This window comes from Homo sapiens, chromosome 11 (assembly GCF_000001405.40).
Source record: "Homo sapiens chromosome 11, GRCh38.p14 Primary Assembly".
Classification (NCBI taxonomy): domain Eukaryota; kingdom Metazoa; phylum Chordata; class Mammalia; order Primates; family Hominidae; genus Homo; species Homo sapiens.
Genome location: NC_000011.10, coordinates 102,566,114 through 102,592,853, shown reverse-complemented (window position 1 = coordinate 102,592,853; position 26,740 = coordinate 102,566,114). Strand labels below are relative to the sequence as shown.

The 26,740-nt window shown below is 37.4% G+C and overlaps 1 protein-coding gene across 1 annotated transcript in view; it reads left to right on the top strand.

Annotated features, from left to right (window-relative positions):
- The window catches only part of MMP20 (matrix metallopeptidase 20), a 48,501-nt gene extending 32,479 nt beyond the window's left edge, over window positions 1–16,022 (top strand). Inside the window, exons 9-10 of the mRNA NM_004771.4 lie at window positions 13,712–13,815; window positions 15,428–16,022. Coding sequence (NP_004762.2) covers window positions 13,712–13,815; window positions 15,428–15,528 — 205 coding nt within the window. The 3' untranslated portion in view covers window positions 15,529–16,022. The remainder of the gene's footprint in view (window positions 1–13,711; window positions 13,816–15,427) is intronic.

Sequence of the window (26,740 nt, the reverse complement as noted above, 5' to 3'; positions counted from 1 at the left end):
CTGCACATAGGGTCACACCTTATCTTAGCTACTGAGTTTCTATCCTTAGTTGACTCATGTTGAGGAATGAGAGGAGCTCCTTCAAAGATCACCTCTGCCTCTGCACAGCTTTCCTCTGTTCCCAGTTTTCTCTTTTTTGCCTGTTTATCTAAACATCCGAAGAGAAAAGCAAAAGCAGATTCTAAGCAGGTGACAATGCTAGACACCTTAGGCTCATGAAAGGGTCTTGAAGAAAACAGGAGAGCACCCAACTTTGTTCCAAGAGCTTTCATTTTATTTTCTATCACGTATTTTAAATAATCATTTTTGTGGTATAAAAGAAATTTCAAAACAAATATTTGTCATCTTATTCTATCTGATTCATATTTTCTTCCCCAATTTGGAGTTGAGAAAATAATATAAGTGAGGCACATAAATATATTTCATAAGAAAGCAAATTTCTTTTATAAAGAAGGAATTGCAAACAAATATGGACTCTGCTGACTCTTCTGGGCCACTGAGAGCCCTGGAAGCATTGCTCAGTGTCATGCGGTGTCATGAGCTGTCACTTCCAGACCAGTGTTTAAGCCACTAGGCCAGCTATTTTTCTCTCAGACCTTCCTTTTTAAAACATGATGACAGGAATTCACTTATTAAGGCCCTAATATCTGCAAGACAGAGTATGATTCTCTAAAGTCTTTCTTTAAGATAAGGTGGCTGTAGTCACACAGCAGATATACAGGAAGATAGGTATTGAGAAATCCAATTCCCCTGGTGAATTTTCAGAGAATAAAATCAAGAGATGCATGTGTAAGCACGTCTGTTGGAGTATGAGGGCGTTTATGTTAGGATTATTCAGTTAATGTTTTAAAGGGTATTCACAGTGTGATTCTCAATGGGGGAATTATCCACTCTCCCATTGTCTCTCTTGCCCATTTATCACCTGATCTTTGGTCTAATCTACCACCCACCAGCACCTGCAGTAAAGCATATACCTTCAGCCAGGCTGGATTGAAACTTAACAGCTAAGTTAAGAGATGTGGGCAGAGGTTCAAAATTCTCTGTAAGTTTTAGGATGGGGAGGTCAAGGCTCTCTGATTTTAGTGATGCTCTTTGCCCCCAGAGAAAATCGTACTGTACCTTTCCAACTGGGCCTCTGTGAGTGTCTACTAAGGAGAAGTCTTTTGTAATCTAGATAAATAGATTCACCGAAAAGTTGGTCTAGGGCATTAACTAAAATGTTAACAAGCTCATTTTTCTGGTTAAGGAAGGAAACCATCGTAGGCACTTCTAACCTTCTCAGGTTACAGAGGGTATTAAGTGATGTAATGCATGCAGACACAGATACCTAGCAAGGTCTGCATAGAGCAGGTGCTCAAAAAGAGTTATTCTTCAGCAACAGAACTTATATGGTAACTAACAAATAATTTCTTAACAAGTTGTGATGCATAACAAATTGCTTAAACCTCAATATTTCTCTGAGCGGCGATTCAGTCAAAAATCTGGTCAAAGGGAATTTCCTTTTTAAATACTGAAGGCCCCTAACATTGGACTGAAATTGCTGCTTTTGGCAAAACATAGACAATCCCTTCAGCAATGGCAGTCTTCTACTTTACGCACTCCAACACATACACTGGTGTATGCAACAAGGAGTAAGACAACCCTCACCTATAGCTCAAAAGTTTAGAGAAACCTATTGTACTGGCCCTATTCATAAACACCCCTGAATTCTGCACAGTGTGCTTTACAGGGCCTCATATGTGTGACATCTTATTGTCATATGAAGCCTTCTATTGGTTTGAAATTTAATTTAGCCACTAGTATCAGAGACCCCAAAATAATTGTGGCTTAAACACATGAGGGTTTGTTTTTCTCATATGTGTAAAAAGTCTGACAGTTTAGAGCCAGTATGGCAGGCTGGTGATCAACAGGGACCCAAGTTCCCTTAAACATTTTGCTCTGCTATTCTTAACACATACTTGCATTCTCGTGGTTGCCTCATGACTCGAGGTGGCCAGGGGAGCTTTAGTCATTATGTCCCTACTGTAGAAGGATGGAACTGAGAAGAAAGGACAAAGGAGATAAATGAAGTTTTGTAGGTAAGCACATGGCCATACTCAAAAATATGGAAGGTCCCAAGCCTCAAGTTATGGAATAAGAATTTCACTACATTGACATCCACTGAAAGTGTGTTAGGTTTTATTTGTCTTAGACATTTCTCAAGTTCTTCCTTGCTCCTCATGCTAGTTCAGTCTGTGACGTAAGTAATGTGCCAAGGGAAGAAAAGTCTCTGGAAATTCTGCAAGAACTCCCAGAGTTTGGACCCAGTTTTAGTGAATGAAATGCCATGAGGAAATGACCGAGGAACTTCCTCCACAGAGGATTGAAGGTTGGCTTGGGGCCAGGTTGGATTAGGCTCTAAAAGGGAGGACCCATGTCTCTGTGTGGTAGTTACTTATAGGGGAGCAGCGCACAGAGGACCACAATGTCAAATCCAAATAGGAGGCTCTACTATGTTGATGCCGTTACATGCTACATCAGCAAATGACATATTGGTTAAACTTTGCCAACTAGAACCACTTCCCCTTACTTTTATTCCTTCCTATTCTCTTTCTAGCAGGCCCTAATGGTTCCATCAGTTTTTCATTTTTTACATTATTTCCACTACCTATGGCTGATTTCTCCTTTTACATATTCTTCCTTGCCTACCAGTAGCAGAGCAGTGGCTACATCAAGGGATTTCTGGCAGCAGGGGGTGTCACCACCTCCATAATTCTTCAAGATAGTCAATGATTTCTGAATTTTATGCAAAGTGACTTGCAAATCTGCAGATCCTACCCCTTTTCAATCATATTGCCCCTCTACCCTGAATCACTCTTTCTGTACAGTCAGACTCGGGGCATCATTGCTGCAAAGTAGAATACGTCTTCCACATTCTCTTCTTCCTGAATGCCTCAGAAATACTAGAAATAGATGTTTTTATTTGAGGATTTTATAGTCACCATAAATAAATAAATAATAAGTAATAAAAATAAGATGAAATAGGGTTCAAAAATCTTGTTTTTTCATGTTTTAAATTTTAAAAAACTTATGACTAAACTACCACATTCAACCTACATTTATTAGACATATTATGTGTCAGCCTGTGTACTAGTGACATTCAAGAGAAGGTGTAGAGTTTGCTGGTTAAGAATGGGCAGAAGTAAAAAGTCCTAGTGTTAATCTTAACTCTACCAACAATTATCTGACAATTTGGATCACCTTTCTGTCTGTTTCATCATCTGCAAAATGGGGGTAGAAATAGTATACACTTCCTAGAATTATGGCATTGAAAGGGAAAAATGTGAAATGCCTGTCACATAATAAGCATTCAGCTCATGTTGGGTGTTATTAATGCCCTCAACAGATCTTACAGTTGAGGGTAAATATATAGATAAATAACTAACAGAAATCCAAGTGCCAAAAGTGCTCTGATACAAGACTTCATGAAGATCAGTGGGTCAAAACAAAGAGGAAATGGCCAACTTAGCAAAATTATCAGGAAATAATTCTTAGAGGAAGTGATGGCTGAGCTCCACTTTGAGAGTTGTGTAGGAGTTTCCCAGACAGAGGGTGAGGTGCGGGTGGGTGGCTTCCAGGCAGAGAAAGCAGTTGAAGCAAATTTACTGATGCACAAAATAGCATGTGAGCATGGGGAAAACCTCAAACAGTTCAGTATGACTAGAATATAGACTAAAATCAGAACGATGGCCCAAGGAAACCAGGTTACAGATCATGTAGTGTCAATGCCTTTCTAGGGAGATCAGTGTTTATTCTGCAGAGAAGAGGGACATGTTAAATACCTTCCATAAGGGAGAAACTCAATAAGATTAATGTTATAAAAATAACACTCCCCTAGCAATGTGACTGAATTAGAGGGAAACGAGACTTGAAGCCAGATAAACTAGTTAGGCCAAAAGGCAGTGGAAAGCATACTCAAAGTTCTCAAAGAAAAGACTCAACCAAGAATCTTATATCCACTAGAGTTATCTTTCAAAAATGAAGGAGAAATAAAGACATTCCCAGAGAAACAAAAACTGAGAGAATTTGTTACTTGCAGATTGCCTGACCAGAGATACTAAAGAAAGTTCTTTAGGCTGAAAGCAAGTGAGCTTAGATAGCAATTCAAGCCCCCACAAAAATCCAGAGAGCATCAGTAGTAAGTGTAATTATGTAAAAGACAGTATAAATGCATATTTCTTCTTCTTTATTCTCTTAATTTAAAAATGGAAAATCAATTATATTAAACAATGTGCATATAATTGTATAATTGTATTGTTAAGGCTATGACATGTAGAAATATACTTGTCAATAATAATATGAAGGAAGTAGGTGGGAGCAAAACTGTATTTGGCTAAAGAAAAGACACTAGATGGTAACTAAAATTCACAGGAACAAAAGAACAGAACCAGAAATGGCAACTAAGAAACTTAATATAACAAAAGCTGCAAATATATACATCTTCTCTTTTCTCTTCTCAGCTTCTTTAGAAGACATTAAATTATATAAAATAATAATTATAACAATTAATTTGGGGCTTCAGATGTAGATAGATACAATAGGTATAACAATAATAACACAGAAGGAAGGGGAGAGAAATAGAGTTATATAGGAGTAATGTTTCTATATCTCACTGGAATTAATTTAGTATAAGTCTTAAGCAGATTTTTATAAGTTAAGATGTATATGGCAAGCCCTACATCAACCACTAAGGAAATCACTTAGGAAAATACAGTTAAACAATTATAAAAGAAATTAAAATGTTACATTAGAAAATTTTTACTAATGCAAAAGAAAACAGTGAGGATGAATAGAGGAACCAAAAAGACATGAGTTATACAGAAAACAAAAAGTAAAATGGCAAGCATAAATTCAACTTTATCAATAACATTAAATGTGAATAGATTAAACCGTCTAATCAAATGGCAAAGACTGCCAGATTGGATTGTAAAAAACAAGACCCACCTATATGCTGTCTACAGCAGATACATTTTAGGTTCAAAGATACAAATAGATTGAAAGTAAAAGAATGGAAAAAATATATCATGCAAATAGCAACCATAAGAAAGCTTGAATGGCTATACTATTATCAGGCAAAACAGACTTTGAAATAAAAAATGCTACTAGCAATAAAGAAGGACATTTTATAATGACAAAAAGTCAATATACCATGAAGATGTAATTATAAACATATGTGAATCTAACACAGGGCCCCAAAAATGTATGAAGCAGTAATTGACAGAAATGAAGGGATAAGTCAATAATGAAACAATAATAGTTAAAGATTTCAATACCCCACTTTCAGTAATGGATAGAACAACCAGAGAGATCAACAAAGAATAAAAGACTTGAACAATACTGTAAACCAACTAGACCTAACATATATCTATAGAATGCTATACCCAAAAAGAGCAGAATACACATTCTTTTCAAGTGAACATGGAACATTCCCCAGAATAGACTATATGTTAGGCCACCACACAAGTCTCAACAAATTTAAAACAACTTAAGTCGTACAAGTATCTCTTCTGATCACAATAGAATAAAGCCAGAAATCAATACCAGAAAGACAACTAGAAAACTTACAAATATGTGGAAATTAAACAACATACTATTAAACAACCAATGGGTCAAAGAAGAAATCACAAGGGAAATTAGAAAGTACTTAGAAATAAATGAAAATTAAAATACAACATACCAGAACTTATGAGATGCAGTGAAAGCAGCACTCAGAGAAAAAAATTATAGCTATAAAAGCCTATATTTAAAAAGGAGAAAAATCTCAAATCAATAACTTCACCTTCCACTTTGAGATAATGGAAAATCAAGAACATATTAAACCTAAAGCAAGAAGAAAGAAGGAAATATAAACATTATAATGGAAATAAATAAAATAGATGATAAATAAACAATTTGAGAAAACCAACAAAACTGAAGGTTGGTTCTTTGAGAAAATAAACAAAGGTGACAAACTTTCTACTAGATTGATCAAATAAAAAAGAAACAATTTTTTTTTTTTGAGGCGGAGTCTTGCTCTGTCCCCCAGGCTGGAGTACAGTGGCATGATCTCGGCTCACTGCAAGCTCCGCCTCCCGGGTTCACACCATTCTCCTGCCTCAGCCTCCTGAGTAGCTGAGACTACAGGCACCCGCCACCATGCCCAGCTAATTTTTTTTTGTATTTTTTAGTAGAGATGGGGTTTCACCGTGTTAGCCAGGATGGTCTCGATCTCCTGACCTCGTGATCCGCCCACCTCAGCCTCACAAAATGCTGGGATTACAGGTGTGAGCCACTGTGCCCAGCCAAAAGAAAAAATTTAAATTACTAAAATCAGAAATAAAAGAGGAGACATTGCTACTCACCTTACAGAAATAAAAAAGGTCATAAAGGAATACTATGAACAATTGTATACCAATAAATTAGATAAATGAAATGGACAAATTCATAAGAAGACACAATCTAGTAAAACCGAGTCAAGAAGAAATACACAGTCTGAATATGCCTACAATAAGAAAAGATATTAAAGCAGTAATCAAAAACTATCCACAAAGAAAAGCCCAGGCCCAGAAGGGTTCACTGGTAAATTCTACCAATACATTGAAAGAAGAATTAATGTCAATTTTTTTACAAACTCCTCCAAACCTTAGAAAAGAACAGAATTAATACCAGTTTTTCACAGACTTTTCCAAAACATAGAAGAGTGGAAAACACTACCTAACTCACTGAAGTCAGCATTATCCTTATACCAAAACCACACAGAAACATGACAAAAAAATAAAGCTTCAGACCAGTATCTATTGTGAATATGGCTACAAAGATCCTCCAAAAACACCAACAACCTAAATCCAGCAACGTATGAAAAGAATTATACACCAAGACCAAGTAGGATTTGTCCCAGGAATTCATCCAAAAATCAATTAATGTAATGTCCCATATCAATAGAATAAAAACAAAAATCATATGATCATCTCAGTAGATACAGTAAAAGCATTTGGCAAAATTCAACATTATTTCATGATAAAAAAACATTCAGCAACCTAGGAATAAAACCTAGGAATAAAAATAACCGTTTTCAAATCAATAAAGAGCGTCTATGAAAACCCACAGCTGATGGCATAGTCAGTGGTGAAAGACTGGATGCATTCCTCCTAACATCAAAAACAAAACAAAAATTTCTGCTCTCATCTCTCCATTCACATTGTACTGGAGGTCCTAACCAAGAGAATTAAGCAAGAACGAATGAAATAAAAATTATCCAGATAGGAGAGAAAGTAAAACTATTTCTTTTTGCATATGGTATTATCTTTTATATAGAAAAACCCTAGAGAATACTCTAAAAAAACTTTTAGAACTAATAAATGAGTTCAGAAAGGTTGCAAGGAATGAATTCAATGTGTTAATCAATTGTGTTTTTATACACCTGAACAAACAATTTGAAAATGAAATTAAGAAAGCAATTCCAACTGGAATAGCATCAAAAAGAGTCAAATACTTAAAAATAAATTTAACAAAAGAAATGGAAAATGTTGTTTTGTAGTCTGAAAACTACAAAACATTGTTGAAAGAAATTAAGCAAGATCTAAATGGAGTGATATCTCATGTTCATGGATGAGGATATTTTTAAGATGATAGTAGTCCCCAAATTGATCTGTAGATTCAACACAATCTCTTTCAGAATACCACTGGTTTCTTTGTAGAAATTGACAAGTTTTTCTTGAAACTCGAAACTCACGGGCCTAGAATAGCCAAAATATCTTTAAAAAGAACAAAGTTGGAGGATTCATACTTCCCAATTTCAAAAGTTACTACAAAGAAACAGTAACTAAGACTGTGATATTTGCATAAGGATAGCCATACATGTTAATAGAATAAAATTTAGAGTAAGGAAATAAAGCCATGTATCTATGGGCAACTGATTTTTGACAACGATATAAAGTCATTCAAAGGAGAAAAATGGTATCTTCAACAAATGATGCTGGAAGGAGTGGATAGCCACATGCAAAAGAATGGACTTAGACCCCAACCTCTCAACATATACAAAAATTAACTCAAAATTGATCAAATTCCTTAAATATAAGAGCTAATCTGACAAAACTCTTAAAAGAAAATGTAAGATAAATCTTCGTGATCTTGGATTTAGCAATGAATACTCAGATACAACATGAAAAGCATAAGCCAAAAAGAAAAAAAGGACAAGTTGGATTTACTCAAAATTAAAAACTTTTCTGCTTCACAGTACACTATCAACAAAGTAAAAAGACAACCCAGGGAATGGGAAGAAATGTTTGTAAGTCATATATCTGATAAAGAACTTGTGTCTAGAATATATAAACGACTATTCAATTAATAACAAGAAAAATAACTCAGTTAAAATATGGGCAAAGGATCTGAATAGCCATTTCTCCAACAAAGATATACAAATGGCCAATAAGCACATGAAAAGATGCTCAACATCAATAGTCATGAGGAAAATGCAAATGAAACCCGCAGTGAAATACTTCTTCACACCTACTAGAATGCCATAATCAAAAAGTCAGATAATAATAAGTGTTGGTGAGAATATGGAGAAATCAGAACCCTCATACATTGGTAGTAGAAATGTAAATTAGTATAGCCACTTTGGAAAGCAGTCTCCTGCTCCTCAAAAAATTGAACATAGAATTATCATTTGACCCAGAATTCCACTTTCTTGAGGATATACCCAAGAGAAGTAAAAACATAAGTCCACATAATAGCTGTATACAAATATTCATAGCAGCATTATTAATAATAGACGAATGCTGGAAACAACCCAAATCTCCATCAAGTGTTGAATGGATATATAAAATGTGATAAATTCATACAATGGAATATTATTTGGCCACAAAAATGAATGAAATGCTGGTACATGGTACGACATGGATGAATCTTGAGAGCATTATACTAAGTGAAAGATGTCAGTCATGAAAATCTGCATATTGTATAAAATGTCCATAATAGGCAAGTTAAAACAGACAGAAAGTAGATAGTGATTGTCTAGGTCTGGTTGAGATGGGGGATGAGGATGTGGAGTATGGGGACTTACAGTGAAAAGGCATAAGGTTTTTGTGGGGGCGGGTGATGGCAACATTCTAAAATTGATTGTGTTGATGGTAGCACAATTCTGTGACTATAGTCATGCATCGCTTGCTTAACAATGGGGCTGTGTTCTGAGGAATGTGTCATTAGGTGATTTGGTCAATCAGTGAACATCCTAGAGTGTACTTACACAAACCTAGATGGTATTGCTTACTACCCACTTAGGCTATATGGTATACCCTGTTGCTCCTATAGCTCCTACAGACCTATACAACATGATACTGTACTGAATACTGTAGGCAATTGTGATACAATGGTAAGTATTTGTGTATCTAAACTTAGAAATGGTACAGTAAAAATACAGTGTTATAATCTTATGGGACCACTATCATGTACATGGTCTGTCATTTCCTGAAATGTCAACATATGGCAAATGACTGTGCACTAAAAAACCACTGAATTGTTTAAATAAGAGAGAGAACTATTGCAAGAATTCTGCCAGAGATGATGGGTTTGGGAGTTGGGGTAGATTTGATTGTTCTTCAAACAGTAGAAAACATAGGTCTGGATGACTGACTAGTTGGGGGTCATTTCCTTAATAAATGGGTTTTCAATTTTGGCATTTATCAAGACAGTAAACTTAAGAAATGAAGCAGATTTAGGGGAACAAGAAGCAGCTTCAATTTGTACATATGGAGTTTGACATGCTGGTGAGAACTGAGAAGAAAAATATCAGAAGAGATTTGGACATACAGGTCTTGAACTCAAGAGCAGTCAGGCTGGAAAGATAAGTTTGGAATTCATCATGTAATCAGATGGTGATTGAGGCCATGTGAGGATATAAGACTGCCCAGGAAGATGGGGTCCAAGGACAGCATGTGATGTTTGTTATAGAAAACACAGAATGTATGAAAAGGAAAGAAATTCTTCAATGGTCAACACTTGCAACATCTTTTGATACTCATTTAATATTTTTCTTCTATTTTTTTCCTGCAGTTTTCCCCATTTTTAAGTAATTATGTATGAAATTTTGTGTCCTGACATTCTTCTACTTAATACTATAGGATACATATTTTTCTATGTTGTTACAAATTATTTGTCCCAGAATCTCCTCACTATCATTTTCCTCATGGGGTCCTGTTTCCTGACCCTCATCTGGGATTGTACATGGCAGCTTCCTCCTCTCCTGCCTTCTCTTCATTCCCGATCACTGTCCTACCTGCCCTTCTCTAGTATAGATCACAAAGCCCACTTCATTCATGAAAGTCATGTGATTTCTGGCTGAAATCATTAACTTCAAAATGGAATTTCAGATTTCTATTTCATTGTCCCTCCTGACCCACACTGGAAAGGTCACCTTGAGAAAACTTCCTGAAACCATCTTAGAAACCTTATCAGTAAATTCCCCTTTTTGCCGCCCTTTCTTGCATTCTCTTTAAGCATCCTTTAGCTGACTCAGTTCCCCATTTAGTGCTTCTAAGAGGGTAGAATGGAGTCAGTTATGCCCTTGACATGTGACTGAAATCAGCACAATCAAAACACCAAAAATACCTAACAAATCTAAGTTCTAAGCATGCAGATTAGGTTAAACAAAAATGCAGGCACTTTATCAAAACAGTCCCTGAGTCCTTAGAATACAAATGTGGAGAGTAAGATAACGTATCTGAAAAACTACATCAGATATCTGTTGCAGGCAATGATTTATTTAATATATATTAAATGTAAATACCTTGAATCAATATTAAATGATGTAACAAATGCCCACAAAGGAAATAAACATAATTCAGATCACTATTTCTAGTTTGGTATTTAGGTTTCACAAACAAGACCTCAGTGATGAGAGGATATATGCAATGATTTTAGCAGATACTCAAGATATAGTTGATTCTCAATAAAAATTGTATTTATTTCCTTAATATTGAAATTCAGTTACTATTTCTTGATGGCTGGCTTACTGTGTGCCAGGAATCATGCTGAGCGTTTTCTCATATTCTCTCATTGTCCCATCCACCTTTCAACAATCTTGAGAAGTAGGTATTTCTTTTATTTTCATTGAACATTGTGTCTCTGAGGGGTTACATGATTCACTCAAGATCACACAGCTACAGTGGTCCATCTGAAGCTGTATTTCATGTCCTCTGAATTCAAATTCAGTGGGCCTTCCCAACCACCACATATTTTCATTCTTCAATTCTCTTCATCATTTATTTATTATTGGTAAAAATCCCCGTGATCTTCATCCTATCATATAATCTCCTTTTCTGTTACTCTCTCAGTAAAATCCTCACCACACCAGCAGACCTACTTCATCTTAATCCCCTCTCTGACTTGGTTCTCTGGACTGCCTCCAACACTTTTTAGCCCTCCTTTTTCACCCCTTCTCAACCTTGCCTACCACCGCAAATATTATCTTGTAAAGTAAGTTTAAAGATTAAACTCCTTAGTGACTTAGAATCTCAGATCAAACCATGAAGTTCACTCAACCTTACACTGACAAGTCAGAGTTAATTGTTCTTGGGGCCAGAATAAATGACAAAGACTGCTGGCTTGGGCCTACTCTTGGTGCTACATGTGCCAGGTGTGTGTGTGTGTGTGTGTGTGGTGTGTGCGTGTGCATGTGTGTGTGTGTAAATTGTCTCTTACCCTCATGACCAATGTTTTCCAGATGAGAAAAACCAGGGCTCAGAGCTCAAAGTACGTTTTCCTGATCACGGAGTCAGCAGGTAACAGAGTCAGAAATTCAAACCCAGTACCATCAGACTGTATCTGTTGAGCTCTTTGGACTATAACAGAAATCCTTAAATATCTGTCCACAAACAAAGGGCTAGATCATCACAAAGTTCTCACCAGTTCACAGCTAAATAAGGACAGCACAATATTATAAATCAGGGAGCTGCAGTCTGTGTCAGCATAAAAACAGATTATTGGCGAGAACCATCTTTTATTCTCAGTTTATGTCCTTCCTGCCTTTTTGGTGTTAACGTTTCTTTGTCTTTGTGAAATGAGTGTGAAAACAGGTGGTAGTAGTTCTTTTGATGGTTAAATGGTAATGTTCTTACTTAGTAAAATGAAAAGTAGGTAACCTCGTGTTTGTTATGCAGGCCCCTGCATAATGTCTACACATAAGGTCCACATGAAATATTAATGGTTATAGTTAATATGGATAATATGCTGGGACAGTTAGCTTCCACCCCTAGCTCCAAACATTCTGTAAAGCAGCTCAGACTTGCACTTAGTTTCAGCCTGAGTACATCTTTTTCAATGTTTGCCTTTGGCTCAACATCACTAGAGAGTTATCCCTGGCCTGTGTAGTCATAGCCACACAAGAGGGACATTTCAAGAGATGGTGGGTGGATCTGCTGCCACAGGAAATTTTTCAGTAGCCCAGGCACTGGGAGAAATTGTCTGACCTTTTGGTGGGAAAGGAGTGGGGTGTCCACCTGGGAGTGTCCCCATTTGGAACTCTGTGCTAATGAAGAAGGGACTTTCTCAAACTTTAAATGAAGTCTGATTCTCATACAAGTCATGCTGACTCACACAGTCACAGTCTTTTTTAACAATGAGTAGTTTAGATCACAAAGAGATATATTAATCAATCTTCAGAGTTATCATTGAATGCTGGTTGCTGATCCAGAAAAAGAAATCAGGTCTACTATTCAGTCAGTCATATAAGCTTTCCAGGAAACAAAAGCAATGGAATTCAAGTAAATTGGTTTAAAAGGCAGAAGTTCAATTATTACATATTTACTTGCTTCTTATTTACTTATTGTTCACACATTTCTTTATTCATTCAGTGTGCATTATTTGTTCAACCCTTTCTCCATGGATACATAGCACTAAGTTCATGAATAAAAGCACCTATGAAAGGCTTTCAATGATTTGATGAACCAAGGAATTGATAGAGAAATAATTACAACAATAAATAAGGCAATAAAAAATATAGAGAGTTCCTTTCAAATGGCAAGTTTTTTTTGAGTTAACAGAACATGTTGCTATAATATATAGAATGAATATTTCTAAACAATGTATGTGGAAACTTTTTGGAGACTGCTTTAAGCAAGTGACTTCCAAGCTTGTGGTACCAGAATCTCAGGAACATGGGAGCATAGTGATAAAGGTCTATAATCTCTTTTAGGTATTTTAAGAGCCCGATTTAAACAACAAGGGCCAGGCCCAGTGGCTTATTCCTGTAATCCCAGCACTTTGGGAGGCTGAGGTGTGGGAGGATTGCTTGAGACCAGGAGTTTGAGACCAGCCTGGGCAACATGGCAAGACCCTGTCTTTATAAAAAATAAAAATTAGCCAGGGTGTGGTGGTACATGCCTGTAGTCCCAGCTACTCAGGAGGCTGAGACAGGAGGATCGCTTGAGCCTGGAAGGTCAAGGCAGTGGTGAGCCATGATGGCACCACTACACTTCAGCCTGGGCAACAGTGAGACCCCATCTCAAAAAAAAAACAAAAACACAACAAAGAAAAAATAAATAACAACATAAATGCATGTGTATGTGTATGTGAAACAGAGAGAGAGAGGAACACCTAAATAAGTTATGTGTCCATATGCCTGACCAGTATAGTGTCATCTACAACCAGTAAAAACCTCTTAGTAATATTATTTATGAAATAATACTTTTTCTAGCTACGACGAAAGGAAAAGGAAAATGGAAAAAGACTATCCAAAGAATACTGAAGAAGAATTTTCAGGAGTAAATGGCCAAATCGATGCTGCTGTAGAATTAAATGGTAAGTGTTTCCACTGAAAACTTTCTTCATGAAAACTATCATAAGAAATCTTGGCTTTGCTTTAACACAACAGAAAGTGGATTTCCAAGTGGGAGTCCTTGGTTTTTATATTTGGTCTTAGGTCCTTTCATAAGTTTATCTAAACAGATTGTCCACTAGAAAGAGTAACTGTAAAAGTTCTGGTATTTTAGTTCTCTCTTTCCTAATGGAAAGTTTTTGTTTGTTTGTTTGTTTGTTTTTGTTTTTGTGTGTGTGTGTTTTGTTTTTTGTTTTTGTTTTTTGTTTTTTGTTTTTTGTTTTTTTTGAGACGGAGTCTCGCTCTGTGGCCAGGCTGGACTGCAGTGGCGCGATCTCTGCTCACTGCAACTTCTGCCTCCCAGATTCGAGCGATTCTCCTACCTCAGCCTCCCAAGTAGCTGGGACTACAGGCGCTGGCCACCAGGCCCAGCTAATGTTTGTATTTTTAGTGGAGATGGAGTTTCACCATGTTGGCCACCTAATGGAAAGTTTTTAAAGTATAGCTTCAATCGATTAGTCAGCTAGATCATAAAGTCTACCGGGGTCAAGATTACCTTTTCTATCTTTAAAATACACATAGTCTTGGTTGGGCACAGTGACACACACCTGTAATTCCAGCACTTTGGGAGGATGAGGTGGTAGGATCACTTCAGCCCAGGAATTCAATACCAGCTTGGGCAATATGGCAAAACTCTGTCTCTACAAAAAAGTTAGCTGAGAATGATGGCACACACCTGTAGTCCCAGCTACTCCGGATGCTGAGATGGGAGGATTACTTGAGCTCAGGAGGTCGAGGCTGCGGTGAACTGTGATTGCACCACTGCACTCTAGCCTGGGCAACAGAGTGATACCCTGTCTCAAAAAAAAAAAAAAATCTGTCTCAAGCTTCTCAGTGCTTTTTCCCACTCCATCATCCAACTCCTGCAATTTAACACATAGCTAGGAAAGTTGAATAGAACTTTGTTGAATACATTTAATTAAATCTTCTGAAGTAGTCAGTTAGCACACTCTTCTTGAAAAAATAGCACAGGGCTGGACACTGTTCAGAAGTGCAAAGACCATTCCAGATGTGGCCACTGCTCTCACAGAATGGTTCACCCAACACAGATGAAATGACTGGAAAACAGACAATCTATAATTTAGTGTTGAGTCATGTGGTAGACTGCACAATAATTGCAAGAGCTGATCTGAGAATTAAAATATCAGAATCGGCAGCAGTCATTGGAAATTTTATAGTAGGACTTCAGATGGGTTTTGAAGATTGGCCGGAGGCTTAACTAGGGAAAGAAAAGGGGAGTGGCTTCCTGGAGGAGAGCAGCCTGAGCAGAAGCACAGTACATAACTGAGCATGGCACATTGGATGACCCCAACAAGAAGGCCTTACCCCGGCTGGAACAAGGAGAAAGCTCAGAAATGACTGAGAAGTTCAGGAGTCAGGTTCTAGGGCATGAAGACAGAAGACAAGCTAACTGCCACCTGACAAATTCACAATTCCTCTTTGGTGACACTTTAAGAAAGTGACAGTGACAAATTCTTCCATTTATATATGTGCTGGACATCTTCAGTAACCCAATTTCAACTTTGTCTCTTTTAGGCTACATTTACTTCTTTTCAGGACCAAAAACATACAAGTATGACACAGAGAAGGAAGATGTGGTTAGTGTGGTGAAATCTAGTTCCTGGATTGGTTGCTAAATAGAAAAGCCTAGTCTTCTCAAGCAATGAGGATGACTACAAGCAGCCTCTAACTGGATCTTAAGGACTAAAGCAGAATGTAGGAGAGGGATTCTTCCAAAGGCCTTCAAATCAAATTAGAATTCACTGAGAATAATAATACTTCCAATTTTTTTCATAGTTGTATAATCAGAATTTCAATCCACATTAGAAAAGTTTTTATATGGGCAACTTTATGCGAAATCCAAATCAACACAATGCACTCTGCAGTTAGACACCATTATTTTTTCTTACCTAATATACTGAAGCAGATTGATCCGTTTGATTTTTATTTCCAGGAGGAAGACTAGTGGTGGATTCCATGACATATATTGTAATTCTTTTCATAGGAAATGTCATTACAGTATGAATTATAATTATTTACAAGCAATGGCTTTTGTGGCCATCATTTGGCCATCATTTGTTATAATAAATATAAATTTCCCAATTTTTACTTAAAAGACATCACAACAAAATACTGCATAAGAGTGGTTTCTTGTGTGTTTAACTTTGTGTCTACTCACTGGTATCTGATGTAGGCTTAGGTGGATAAACCTATTCAAACAAATTTTCATAGTAGGCAAGAGATGGGCACTTTGCAACAGAAAAATTTTTTAACAATAGCTAATAAAATGTTTTAATAGAACAGTTCCTCATTTCTTTTTTCTGTTAATATTTACTAGCTTCTATAATACTTTAATTGGCTACCCACACATCCTGTGTACCTATAGAAAAATTAAACCGTAAGATAACATCATAAGTACACAGACCCGGAAAGAAATAACAGTAACTCATTCTACTTCCTGCTTCCTGAAAACAGCCTCAGTGAAACTATCTTTTACCCAGCTAAGTGAGTGTCTTTTGAATAGTCTTCCATTCAGGGGAGTTCATCTTTTTGTTTTAGTTTTTCTTACGTCAAGCTAAACCTTTTTCCCCTACCTAGTCATCAGAATAGATAAAACTATGGCTCTGTCATTCTTATAATTTTGCTTTAATCTTACTCTCTAGAATGTAAAGATTCTAAAATATTTTAGTGATTCTAAAATTGAATGATAAGATACTTGTAATACTTCATAGACCTCCTGATACATCTACAGTGTTTAACAGATGCTACTATTGTTACCATCATTTATTAAATTTGTTTCATATAGTCACTTAAAAGACCTAATATTAAGAAAGGATGGGGTAGTTACTCAAGATTATTCTACACTTTCCATTTGGTTTCTGTTACTGAAAGTGGCCACTTATAGTCCACCAGATGTTGAATATTTGTTGAAGACAAGGTCTGGCATCCTTGCCTTCTAATGTCAAGGTGCTTCTATAGAGGAGAAAAGTCACTTTTGCAAAAACTGCTAAGAAGGACTTCTTACTATCAATAAGCAAGGAGAAAAACAGGCTGGCAATTTCTTAAAATATTTAACGTAGACTTACCCTATGACACAGCAATTTCACTCCTAAGTATATACCTATGAGAAATTAAAACATGTCTACACAAAAAACTTGCACATAAATGTTCATAGCATCGTTATTTATAATAGCCAAAGAGTGGAAAAATGTCCATTGAGTAATGAATGAATACGTAAAATGTGGCAAATTCAGACAACAGAATGTTATTCGACAATAAGCAGAAATGAAGTCCTAACACATGCTGTAACATGGATGAAGCTTGAAAACATCATGCTAAATGAAAGAAGCCAGACAGAAAAGGTCACATATTGTATGATTCTATTTATATGAAATGTTCACAATAAAAAAATCTATGGAGACATAAAGCGGACCAGTGCTTGTCAGTAGTTGGGGGAGGGGGTTATAAGGAGTGACTACTAATGGGTATGGGGTTCTTTTTTTTGGGATAATGAAAATGTTCTAAAACTGATGATGGTGATGGTTGCACAACTCTGTGAATATATTAAAAGCCATTAAATTGTACACTTTACATGAGTGAATTATATGTTATGTTAACTATATCTTGATAAAGCTGTTACATTAAAAAAAAGAAGGAGATCAAAGTAGTGTGATGATCCATGGAGGTCATGCATTCTGGCAACTGTGTCAGGGACCACATGACAATGAAGCACCAGCCTGAGGACATCCAGTGCTGCACGCAACCAGCCAGATGTCCTCCTCATGTCCAGCACTAGCCCAGAATCGTGCATACAGAAGACACTTCACTAGTCAATGAATTCACTGAAAGCAATAAAGCATATGCTCTCAGGTCTGACTGATGGATTCAAACTCCAGATCTTCTATTTTCAACTGTGTGATGTTGACCAAATTCCCTCATCCTCATTCTCTGTCTCAGTGTCTTCCTTTATAAAATTGGAATAATGGCAGTTTTTATCTCCTAAGGATATTTAGAGCCTTAAATATATGAGTCAAAATATGCAAAGTAGTCCCTGGCACTCTACAGGGGCTCTATAATTGTTGTTTTTGAAGCCATTAGAGTTCATTTTGTTTGGTGATATTTTGGAGAATTTGTATATGTCCCTTGAGATAGCTAAACATCTGATGAGCTATAATATCACAAGAATTGATAATCAATGACCTGAAATTTTTCTCTTCCAAATGTCAAATTAAATCAAATAATTAAAAATACTATGTTTATCCCCCATCTCCAAAAAATAATTCTTATAAATCATTATTTTTTGTTGAGTTAAAGAATTCTTGGCTTTTAGGCCAGGCATAGGGGCTTACACCTGTAGTCCTAACACTTTGGGAGGCCAAGGTGGATGGATCACTTGAGCTCAGGAGTTTGAGACCAGCCTGGGAAAGATGGTGAGACCCTGTCTCTACTAAAAATACAAAAAATTAGCTAGGCATGGTGGCGCATGCCTGTGGTCCCAGCTACTTGGAAGGCTGAGGTGGGAGGACCACTTGAGCCCAGGGGTCAGAGGTTGCAGTGAGCTGAGATTGTGCCACTGCACCAGCCTGGGTGACAGAGCAAGACCCTGTCTTAAGAAGAAAGCTCTTTGCTCTCAGATATAAAATTAGTATGTATTTTGGAAAAATACAGTCTCTCTAAAGCACAAGAAGGTGTGATTGTGTCATAACACAGAGCACTTATCCTCATATGATACAAGAACGTTGTGCAGAAATAATTTATAACATAAACTACTCATTTGACTTCAGAGTAACTGAGTGCAAACATGACTTATTAAATAACAGTTTTGGACAAAGTGTGGTTGAAGTACTCCCTTGAGGATCACGAGGTAGCAAAACAGAGTTCACTTCCTGATGAATTCTATGCATTATCCTATTAATCTCAGTGATGACTCTTTGTGGGCTGAACCTTTGAAAGCACTACACAGGCTACTAAGGATGAATGGATTCACCTCCTTGGGGAGCTTTCCTAACAGCTCCATATTAAATTTTCTCTGGTATAAACCAAGCCCTCTTCCATTTAGCCTAGTCCTAAATGAAAGACCTAAGTTTGCCTTTGGGTCTTCTGTTTCTTTTCAAATGTTTATTGCAAAACACCTTAGATGTCCATTTCACAAAGCAAATGGCAAAAAAACTATGCAGTTTTTCATTCAGAATTCTGTGTATAATATTTTTAAATGCTCACAGGGTCTTCAGGGTGCTTTTATTTATATATTATCCAGATGTTTTTCTTTATTCCTGTTAGTTATTTTTCTTCTACAGACAATGATATTGAAGGTTCTTTGTGAATATTCATAGCTAAAATTACCCAATGAAGTGCCATTTGAGAGGAAATGCATACTGCTGGCCAATAGGTTGGTGTTTTAGACTACCATAATGGAGCTTAGAAGAGTCCAAGCCAAAAGATCGTCGGCATTTCTCCCCAGTAGGTCTGGGTAAAAAGTAGAAACAGCATCTTCTGATCATCTGTCATCTGCCAAGTCTCCTGTCTTTGGTCTCATTCCAATCCCTACGTGGCTTGTCAACATGATCAGTTTAAAAGGTATCCTGTTATACTCAAAATGTCATAATTTCAGGTTTGCTCCCAACACCTAGACCCTTGGAATTGAACTAGAAGCAGAATTGGGAAGCTTGCTGGTAAATAAATTACAATGGGAAATTAGTGAATGGCTTTGGGATCCAAAATAGGACTCTTTTTTTTTTTAATGCAACATCTCTTCATTTTAATGTCTTCTCCATTAGTCTTAACATTCTTTCCTTTAATCTAATGTATCATTTAACATGTTTGGAGATGAAAGTAAACTTTTGTTGCACAATGCAGCATGTTGTTCTGACAAGAGTTTGAGGAGAGATGAGAAGAGAAAACATGGGAGGGAGTTAATGAGAAAACAATTGCAAAACATCAGTTAAGAAATGTAACGCTTAAGTCCATCTCAGATCATTTGCAGTGAATGTCCATAAAAAAAAGAATGTCTGTATAAATAGTTAGCAATTTGTTTATTCTTGGAAAGTCCCAGGTCTGTAATGCAGTGATAAACAATGTGAGTTTTTGAGTTGGGTATTAAATGTGTTTACAGCTGCCTCTATAGAGAATGGATGTCAAAAGTCCCATTACAGCCCATTCCACTTGAACTGCAGACTGCTCAATGATTGTAGCATGTCACTTTGCCAGATTTTAAATGTATTTCCATATATGAATCAGCAATTTCTGTGAGTAATTTTATCAGTGGTTTCTTTTGAAATGCTTAATTTCTAAAATTAGTTCATCTTTACAAACAGCCAATTCAGCCTTTTTGAAGGATCTAGCTACCCCCCCATCTCTATCCTTAATATTCACTCTCAATTCACTAGAAAATAATTACTAAGCGCCTACTTTGTGCTGGCACCAACCTATGCTCAGCTGCTTTCTTGCATAAACTCCTGCCCTCAAGGAGCTTACATTCCATTAAAGAGACACACAATATTCAAATGAATAGAGATCTATAATGAAAGATAGTGAAAGTGCTTTGAAAAAATAAATAAAGCAGTGCAAGTAATAAAGAACGTTGGAGTGCCATTTTATAAAAATATGTTTAGGAAAAGGACATACTGGGTCCAGGGTATTCATGCAGAATAACTAAAGGGAGGGAGGAAGCTGTGGAAGTCTCTAGAAGTTTCAGGTAGAAGAAGCAATAAGCGCAAGACCTTGAGGTAGGTAGGAAGGATCTGCACCTGTTTTAGGCACACCAGGAAGGCCAGTGTGGCTGGAGACAGTGAGGGAGAAGGAAAGTAGAAACAGATCAGATCAGAGAAGCAGCTAACCAAGCTATGGAAGCCTTGCGGGTCCCTGTGATAAGAAGGGTTTTCAGCAGGTTCATAACATGATCTGACTGCTGAGTAGCAAACAGATTATAAAAGCACATGATGGATTCAGGGACACTAGACAGTGCCATTTGCCAGGGTAAAAATGATGGTGGCACTGACCAAAGAAGTGGCAGTGAAAATGCTAAGATTGTCAGATTGAGGAATATTTTCAAGGTAAAGCCAACAGTATTTGTATCTAAAGTGCATGCAGAATTTAATAAAAAGAGAAGGATCCACAATGACTCCAACGTTTTTGGCCTAAACAAGTGAAAGAGTAGTGGTGAAATGGAAAGACCAAAGTAAGAGCAGGTTTACGGGGGCTGGAGGTCAAGAGTGTAATTTTGAATTCATTGAGTTTGAGATGCCTATTACACATCCAAGGGGAAATGTCCATACATAAAAAGCTTAAGTAGGTAGATAGATATAAAAAGCTTGAGTTCAAGGAAGAGTTTGAGACCCAATAGAAATTTAGGACTTAAGCCTTAAATTGTTATCTACATTCCTTTTGATTTCCTCCACATTCTATGTGGAATTTAGGACAACGTAAATCATTAAAATATAAGAAGGCAGGTGAAAAATGATCTCAAGATTTTAATTATTGTCCGGTGTTAGTAAGCGCATCCTTTCCCACCTCAAGAACATAGTTTAGTTTTCAACAAAAGTTGCACACTTTTTTTGAAGTTTTTGTTTTTTAGTCTTCATTTTTCTATTTCTTGTTTCCAAAATCAAAGAAGAAATCAGAAAAGAAAATATAAAATCTTCAAGATTGTTCTGAATGAAAGTTGTTGAAAATCTTAAGGATTGTTCTTCAGGAACTAACAAGATCCTATGCTAATAAGTATTACTTATTAATACAGTAATAAGTAGCCTAAGAACTTATTAATACTTTAATAAGTAGCTTAGGAACTTACTAAGAAGGATAAAAGAATTTTTGAGATTTAAAAACATCTGTTTTATTCTTACAGTAAAAACAGTTCTGTTTGTTATCTCATCACGTCCTATAGAGAAAGTGAGTAGCAAGTTCCCTTAATAAAGTTTTCAAATAAGGCAGTTTTTTCAATTAATTTTTTAATTAACTTCTAATTTAATTGCATTATAGTTTGAGAATGTGGTCTGAATGATACAAGCTTTTTTAAATTTGTTGAGACTTACCTAAATTTGTCTTCTGACTTACCATATGATTACAAATTTTTGTAAATGCTGTGTGTTCAGATATACGTTTTCAGTAAGTGAATTTTCTTTTGCACAACTTGTTCTCCTCGGATGTCTCACTTATTTCCCCTGTGAGCTCACATTTTCATGGAATCATCAGTGTCCCCAGCTAGGAGAAGTGTGAAGGCCTGTATCTTTTTTGTTCCCTGCTTGATGAGCGCAGAGGCTGGGATGGGATTGAAGCACCTCTGGGCAGCATTCTTGGTAATGAGGTCTGGACTCAACCCCTGTCATTCTCATTCACTCTTATCAGTGAATCCTCCTCTCAGGGACCCCTCAGAAATTCAGTCTTAGGCTTTGAGTATTTCTGGGGGCTGCTACTATGTCTATAATGGCCTCCCCAGCCATGAGGAACAGTGAGTCAATTAAACTTCTTTCCTTTATAAGTTACCCAGTCTCTAGCCTGGGGAGGAGTGAAGGAAGGGATCTCTCAGGAGCTGGTGAGGCTGACTACACACCTTGTTATGGACATCCCATCTCTGCTGACATCCAACATCAATTTCACATTAATTTATTCAAAAATATTCATTGAATCCCTATTTGACCCTTGGGTTACATCAGGAAACAAAACAAAATCCCTTGCCTTTGTACAACTTCCAGTGTACAAGGAGAAGACAGGCAATAAGCAGTAGACATAATAAGTCATCAAATTATACAGCATGTTAGAAAATAAGGCTTATAGAAAACATAATAACTGTAGGGCAGTGCCCAGACATTTGAGAATCATGAGCTGGGGAGGTAGCTTGTAATTTTAAGTAGATCAGCCAGGAAAGCCCTCACTAAGAAGATATAAAATAGCTTCTTAATGAGAAAGAAAATCCATTTTCTTTTCTGGGTGGCTCTGTGTTCCCATCCAAATCTCATCTCAAAAGGTAATCCCCAGGTGTTGAGGGAGGTACCTGCTGGGAGGTGACTGAATCTTGGGGGTGGTTACCTCCATGCTGTTCTCATGATAGTGAGTGAGTTCCCACGAGATCCGATGGTTTTATAAGTGTTTGGCAGTTCCTCCTTCTATTGCTTTTTCTCTTTTTTTCCTGCCACCTTGCAAAGAGGTGTCTGCTTCCCCTTCACCTTCTGCCATAATTGTAGGTTTCCTGAGACCTCCCCAGCCATGAGGAAATGTGAGTCAATTAAACTTCTTTCCTTTATAAGTTACCCAGTCTCTGGTATTTCTTTATAGCAGTGTAAAAAAGGACTAATACAGCAAATTGTTACTGGTAGAGTGGGGTACTGCTACAAAGATACCCAAAAATTTGCAAGTGACTTTGGAACTGGATAACAAGCAGAGGATGGAACAGTTTGGAGGGCTCAGAAGAAGAAAGGGAGATGTGGGAAAGTTTGGAACTTCCTAGAGACTTGTTGAATGGTTTTGACAAAAATGCTGATAGTGATATGGACAATGAAGTCCAGGCTGAGATGGTCTCAGATGGAGATGAGGAACTTATCCGGAACTGGTGTAAAGGTTACTCTTGCAATGCTTTAGCAAAAAGACTGGTAGCATTTTGTCCCTGCCCTAGAGATCAGTGAACTTTGAACTTGAGAGAGATTATCTGAAACTAGAACTTACATTTGAAAGGGTAGCAGAGGATAAAAGTTTGGAAAATTTGCAGCCTGATCATGCAGTAGAAAAGAAAAACCCATTCAAGCTGGCTGCAGAAATTTGCATAAGTAACAAGGAGCTGAATATTAACAGTCAAGATAATGGGGAAAATGTCTCCAGGGCATGTCAGAGATCATCACAGCAGCCCCTCCCATCACAGGCCCGGAGGCCTAGGAGGGGAAAATGGTTTCATAAGCCAGGCCCAGGGTCCCCACTGCTGCTCTGTGCAGCCTCAGAACTTGGCGCCCTGCATCCCAGCTACTTCAGCTCCAGCTGTGGATGGAGGGGCCAAGGTATAGTTCAGGTTGTTGTTTCAGAGGGTGCAAGCTCCAAGCCTTGGTGGCTTCCATGTGGTTTTGGGCCTGCAGGTGCACAGAAGTCAAGAATTGAGGTTTGGGAACCTCCGACTAGATTTCAGAAGATGTATGGAAATGTCTGGTTGTCCAGGAAGAATTTTGCTGCAGGGGTGGAGGCCTCATGGAGAACCTTTGTCAGGGCAATGTGGGAGGAAAATGTGAGGTTGGAGCCCCAACACAGAGTCCTCACTGGGGTACTGCCTAGTGGAGCTGTGAGAATAGGGCCACTGTTCTCCAGACCCCAGAAAGGCAGATCCAACAGCTCACACTGTGCACCTGGAAAAGCTGCAGGCACTCAATGCCAGCCCGTGAAAGCAGCTTCAGAGGCTGTTCCCTGCAAAGCCACAGGGGTAGAGCTATCCAAGGCCTTGGGAGCCCAGCCTTTGCATCAGAATGCCCTGGATATGAGACACAGAGTCAAAGGAGATCACTTTGGAGCTTTAAGATTTAATGGTTACCCTGCTGGATTTTGGACTTGCATGTGGCCTGTAGCCCCTTTGTTTTGGCTAATTTCTCCCATTTGGAATGGGAGCATGCTATCTGATACTGTATCTTGGAAGTAAATAACTTGCTTTTGACTTTACAGGCTCATAGATAGAAAGGACTTGCCTTGTCTCAGATGAGACTTTAGACTTGGACTTTTGAGTTAATGCTGGAATGAATTAAGACTTTGGGGGACTGTCAGGAAGGCATGATTAGTTTTGAAATGTGAAAAGACATGAGATTTGGGAGGGTCCAGGGGCAGAATGATATGGTTAAGCCTTGTGTCCCCACCCAAATCTCATCTTGAATTATGTTCCCCAGGTGGGAGGAGCCTGGTGGGAGGTGATTGAATCATGGGGGTGACTTCCTCCATGCTGTTCTCATGACAATGAGTGAGTTATCAGGAGATCTGATGGTTTTATAAGTGTTTGGCACTTCCTCCTTCTTTTGCTCTTTCTCATTTTTTCCTGCCGTCTTGTGAAGAGTTGCCTGAATCCCCTTGATCTTCTGCCATGATTGTAAGTTTCCTGAGGCCTCCCCAACCATGAGGAACTGTGAGTCAATTAAACCTCTTTCCTTATGAATTACCCAGTCTCAGGTATTTCTTTATAGCAGTGTGAAAATGGACTAAAGCATATATTTTACCCAATATTGATAAATCAAATAAAAGCTTCAGCTATTTAAAAAAATTACTAAATCAGTCAGATCTGCCAAAGATTTCACGTTACTATGTAAACTTAAAGTCTTATCATTTTTTTGAGCTAACAGTCTTTGTAAAAAGAATTTTTTAAAAAATCAAGTACATTTAACATATTAAAAATTCAATTTTCTTATTTTCTGTGAATTGGGGAAATATTTGAATTATATAAGGGCTTACTTATCTCTATAAAAATAAGATGAGAGCTTCTTTAAAAGACATTATAATCTAATTTATAAATACTTTCTAGTATTAATACTTTCTGAAAGCTGAAAAACTTTTCCAACTCTTACAATTAAAGGGCAGTATCTTTCCCAATGACAAATACTAATACATATAGACACATTGATATGTAGAGAGCTTGTGGCTTCAGTCTTTCAATTGTGCCATGAGTCAAGAATAAACACAGAAATACAAACACTAACTAGGCTCGATATAAAAAATCTAGTCTTCTTCCCAGTGGGCACAACGTTCTGAATTGATTTGAGTTCACAAATAGATGAACATAAAGAAAAACAAACAAAAACTTACCAGATTCTCTGTTGTTTTTTACCCAACAAAAAAATCTTCTCCATCATGTACGGCGATCACCAAATGGTTACATCATAAAAACCAAATTCCCAATCATTGCAACAACCAATTGAGAATAAGTTGTTGACTATAGGCAAACCAGAAACAAGAACTAAACACAAAATTACTAGAGAGAGAGGGATAAAACTAGATAAACAGAGAGTGAGTTAGCAAAGCCAAAGTTCTACTATTACTTGGAATTTACTCTGGCAATCAAGAAAAGATGTGCCGACGTTAAGCAACCATTGGTAAACTTCTCCAGCAACACAGTGTAAGGTGAGAAAACCTTCTTTTCTGTAACCATCCTAGGTTCACAGTTGAGACCTCTTAACAAAAGACAGATTCTCAAGACAAAAATATACAATTTATTTAATATAAGTTTCACATGACACAGAAGCTTTCATTAAAAAAATGAAGACCAGAAAAAAAATGGTAGAATCTGCATATTTTTATATTAAGTTTGATGACAAGTGAACTGTCATGGAGAAATATATTTGGACAAAATGTATGATCTAATAGTAATAAAATGGGGAAAACAGCAAATCTTTGCAATCTCCTGATGAGTTCTTCCTGCCTGCTGCACAGACAAAACTGATTCATGGAGACCATGGCACTGCAGTAAAGAAAGAGTTTAATTGACACGAGGCTGGCCCTGCCATGCAGGAAACAGAATTATAATATTACTCAAATCAATAGCCCCAAAGGCTCAGAGTTTAGGGTTTCTGTGGAGTTTGGTGGGCAGAGGGCTAGGGAATGGGTGCTGTTGATTGGCAGGGGATGAAATCATAAGGGTGTGGAAAACAGTCCTCAAGCCCTGAGTCCACATCTGAGTGGGGCCACAGGTTCAGTTGAGTCATGAGTCCATGTTGGGTCTGTCAGAAAGTGTCTCAAAAAAAAATAATCTTAGGTATTACAATCGTGATGTTATCTACAGGAGCAATTAAGGAAGTCACAAATCTTGTGACCTCTGGCCACATGACTCCTGAGCAGTAAAGGATTATAGAAAGATGCCTACATCTTAGCAGAGTTCAGCCCACCACCCCACATAATCCT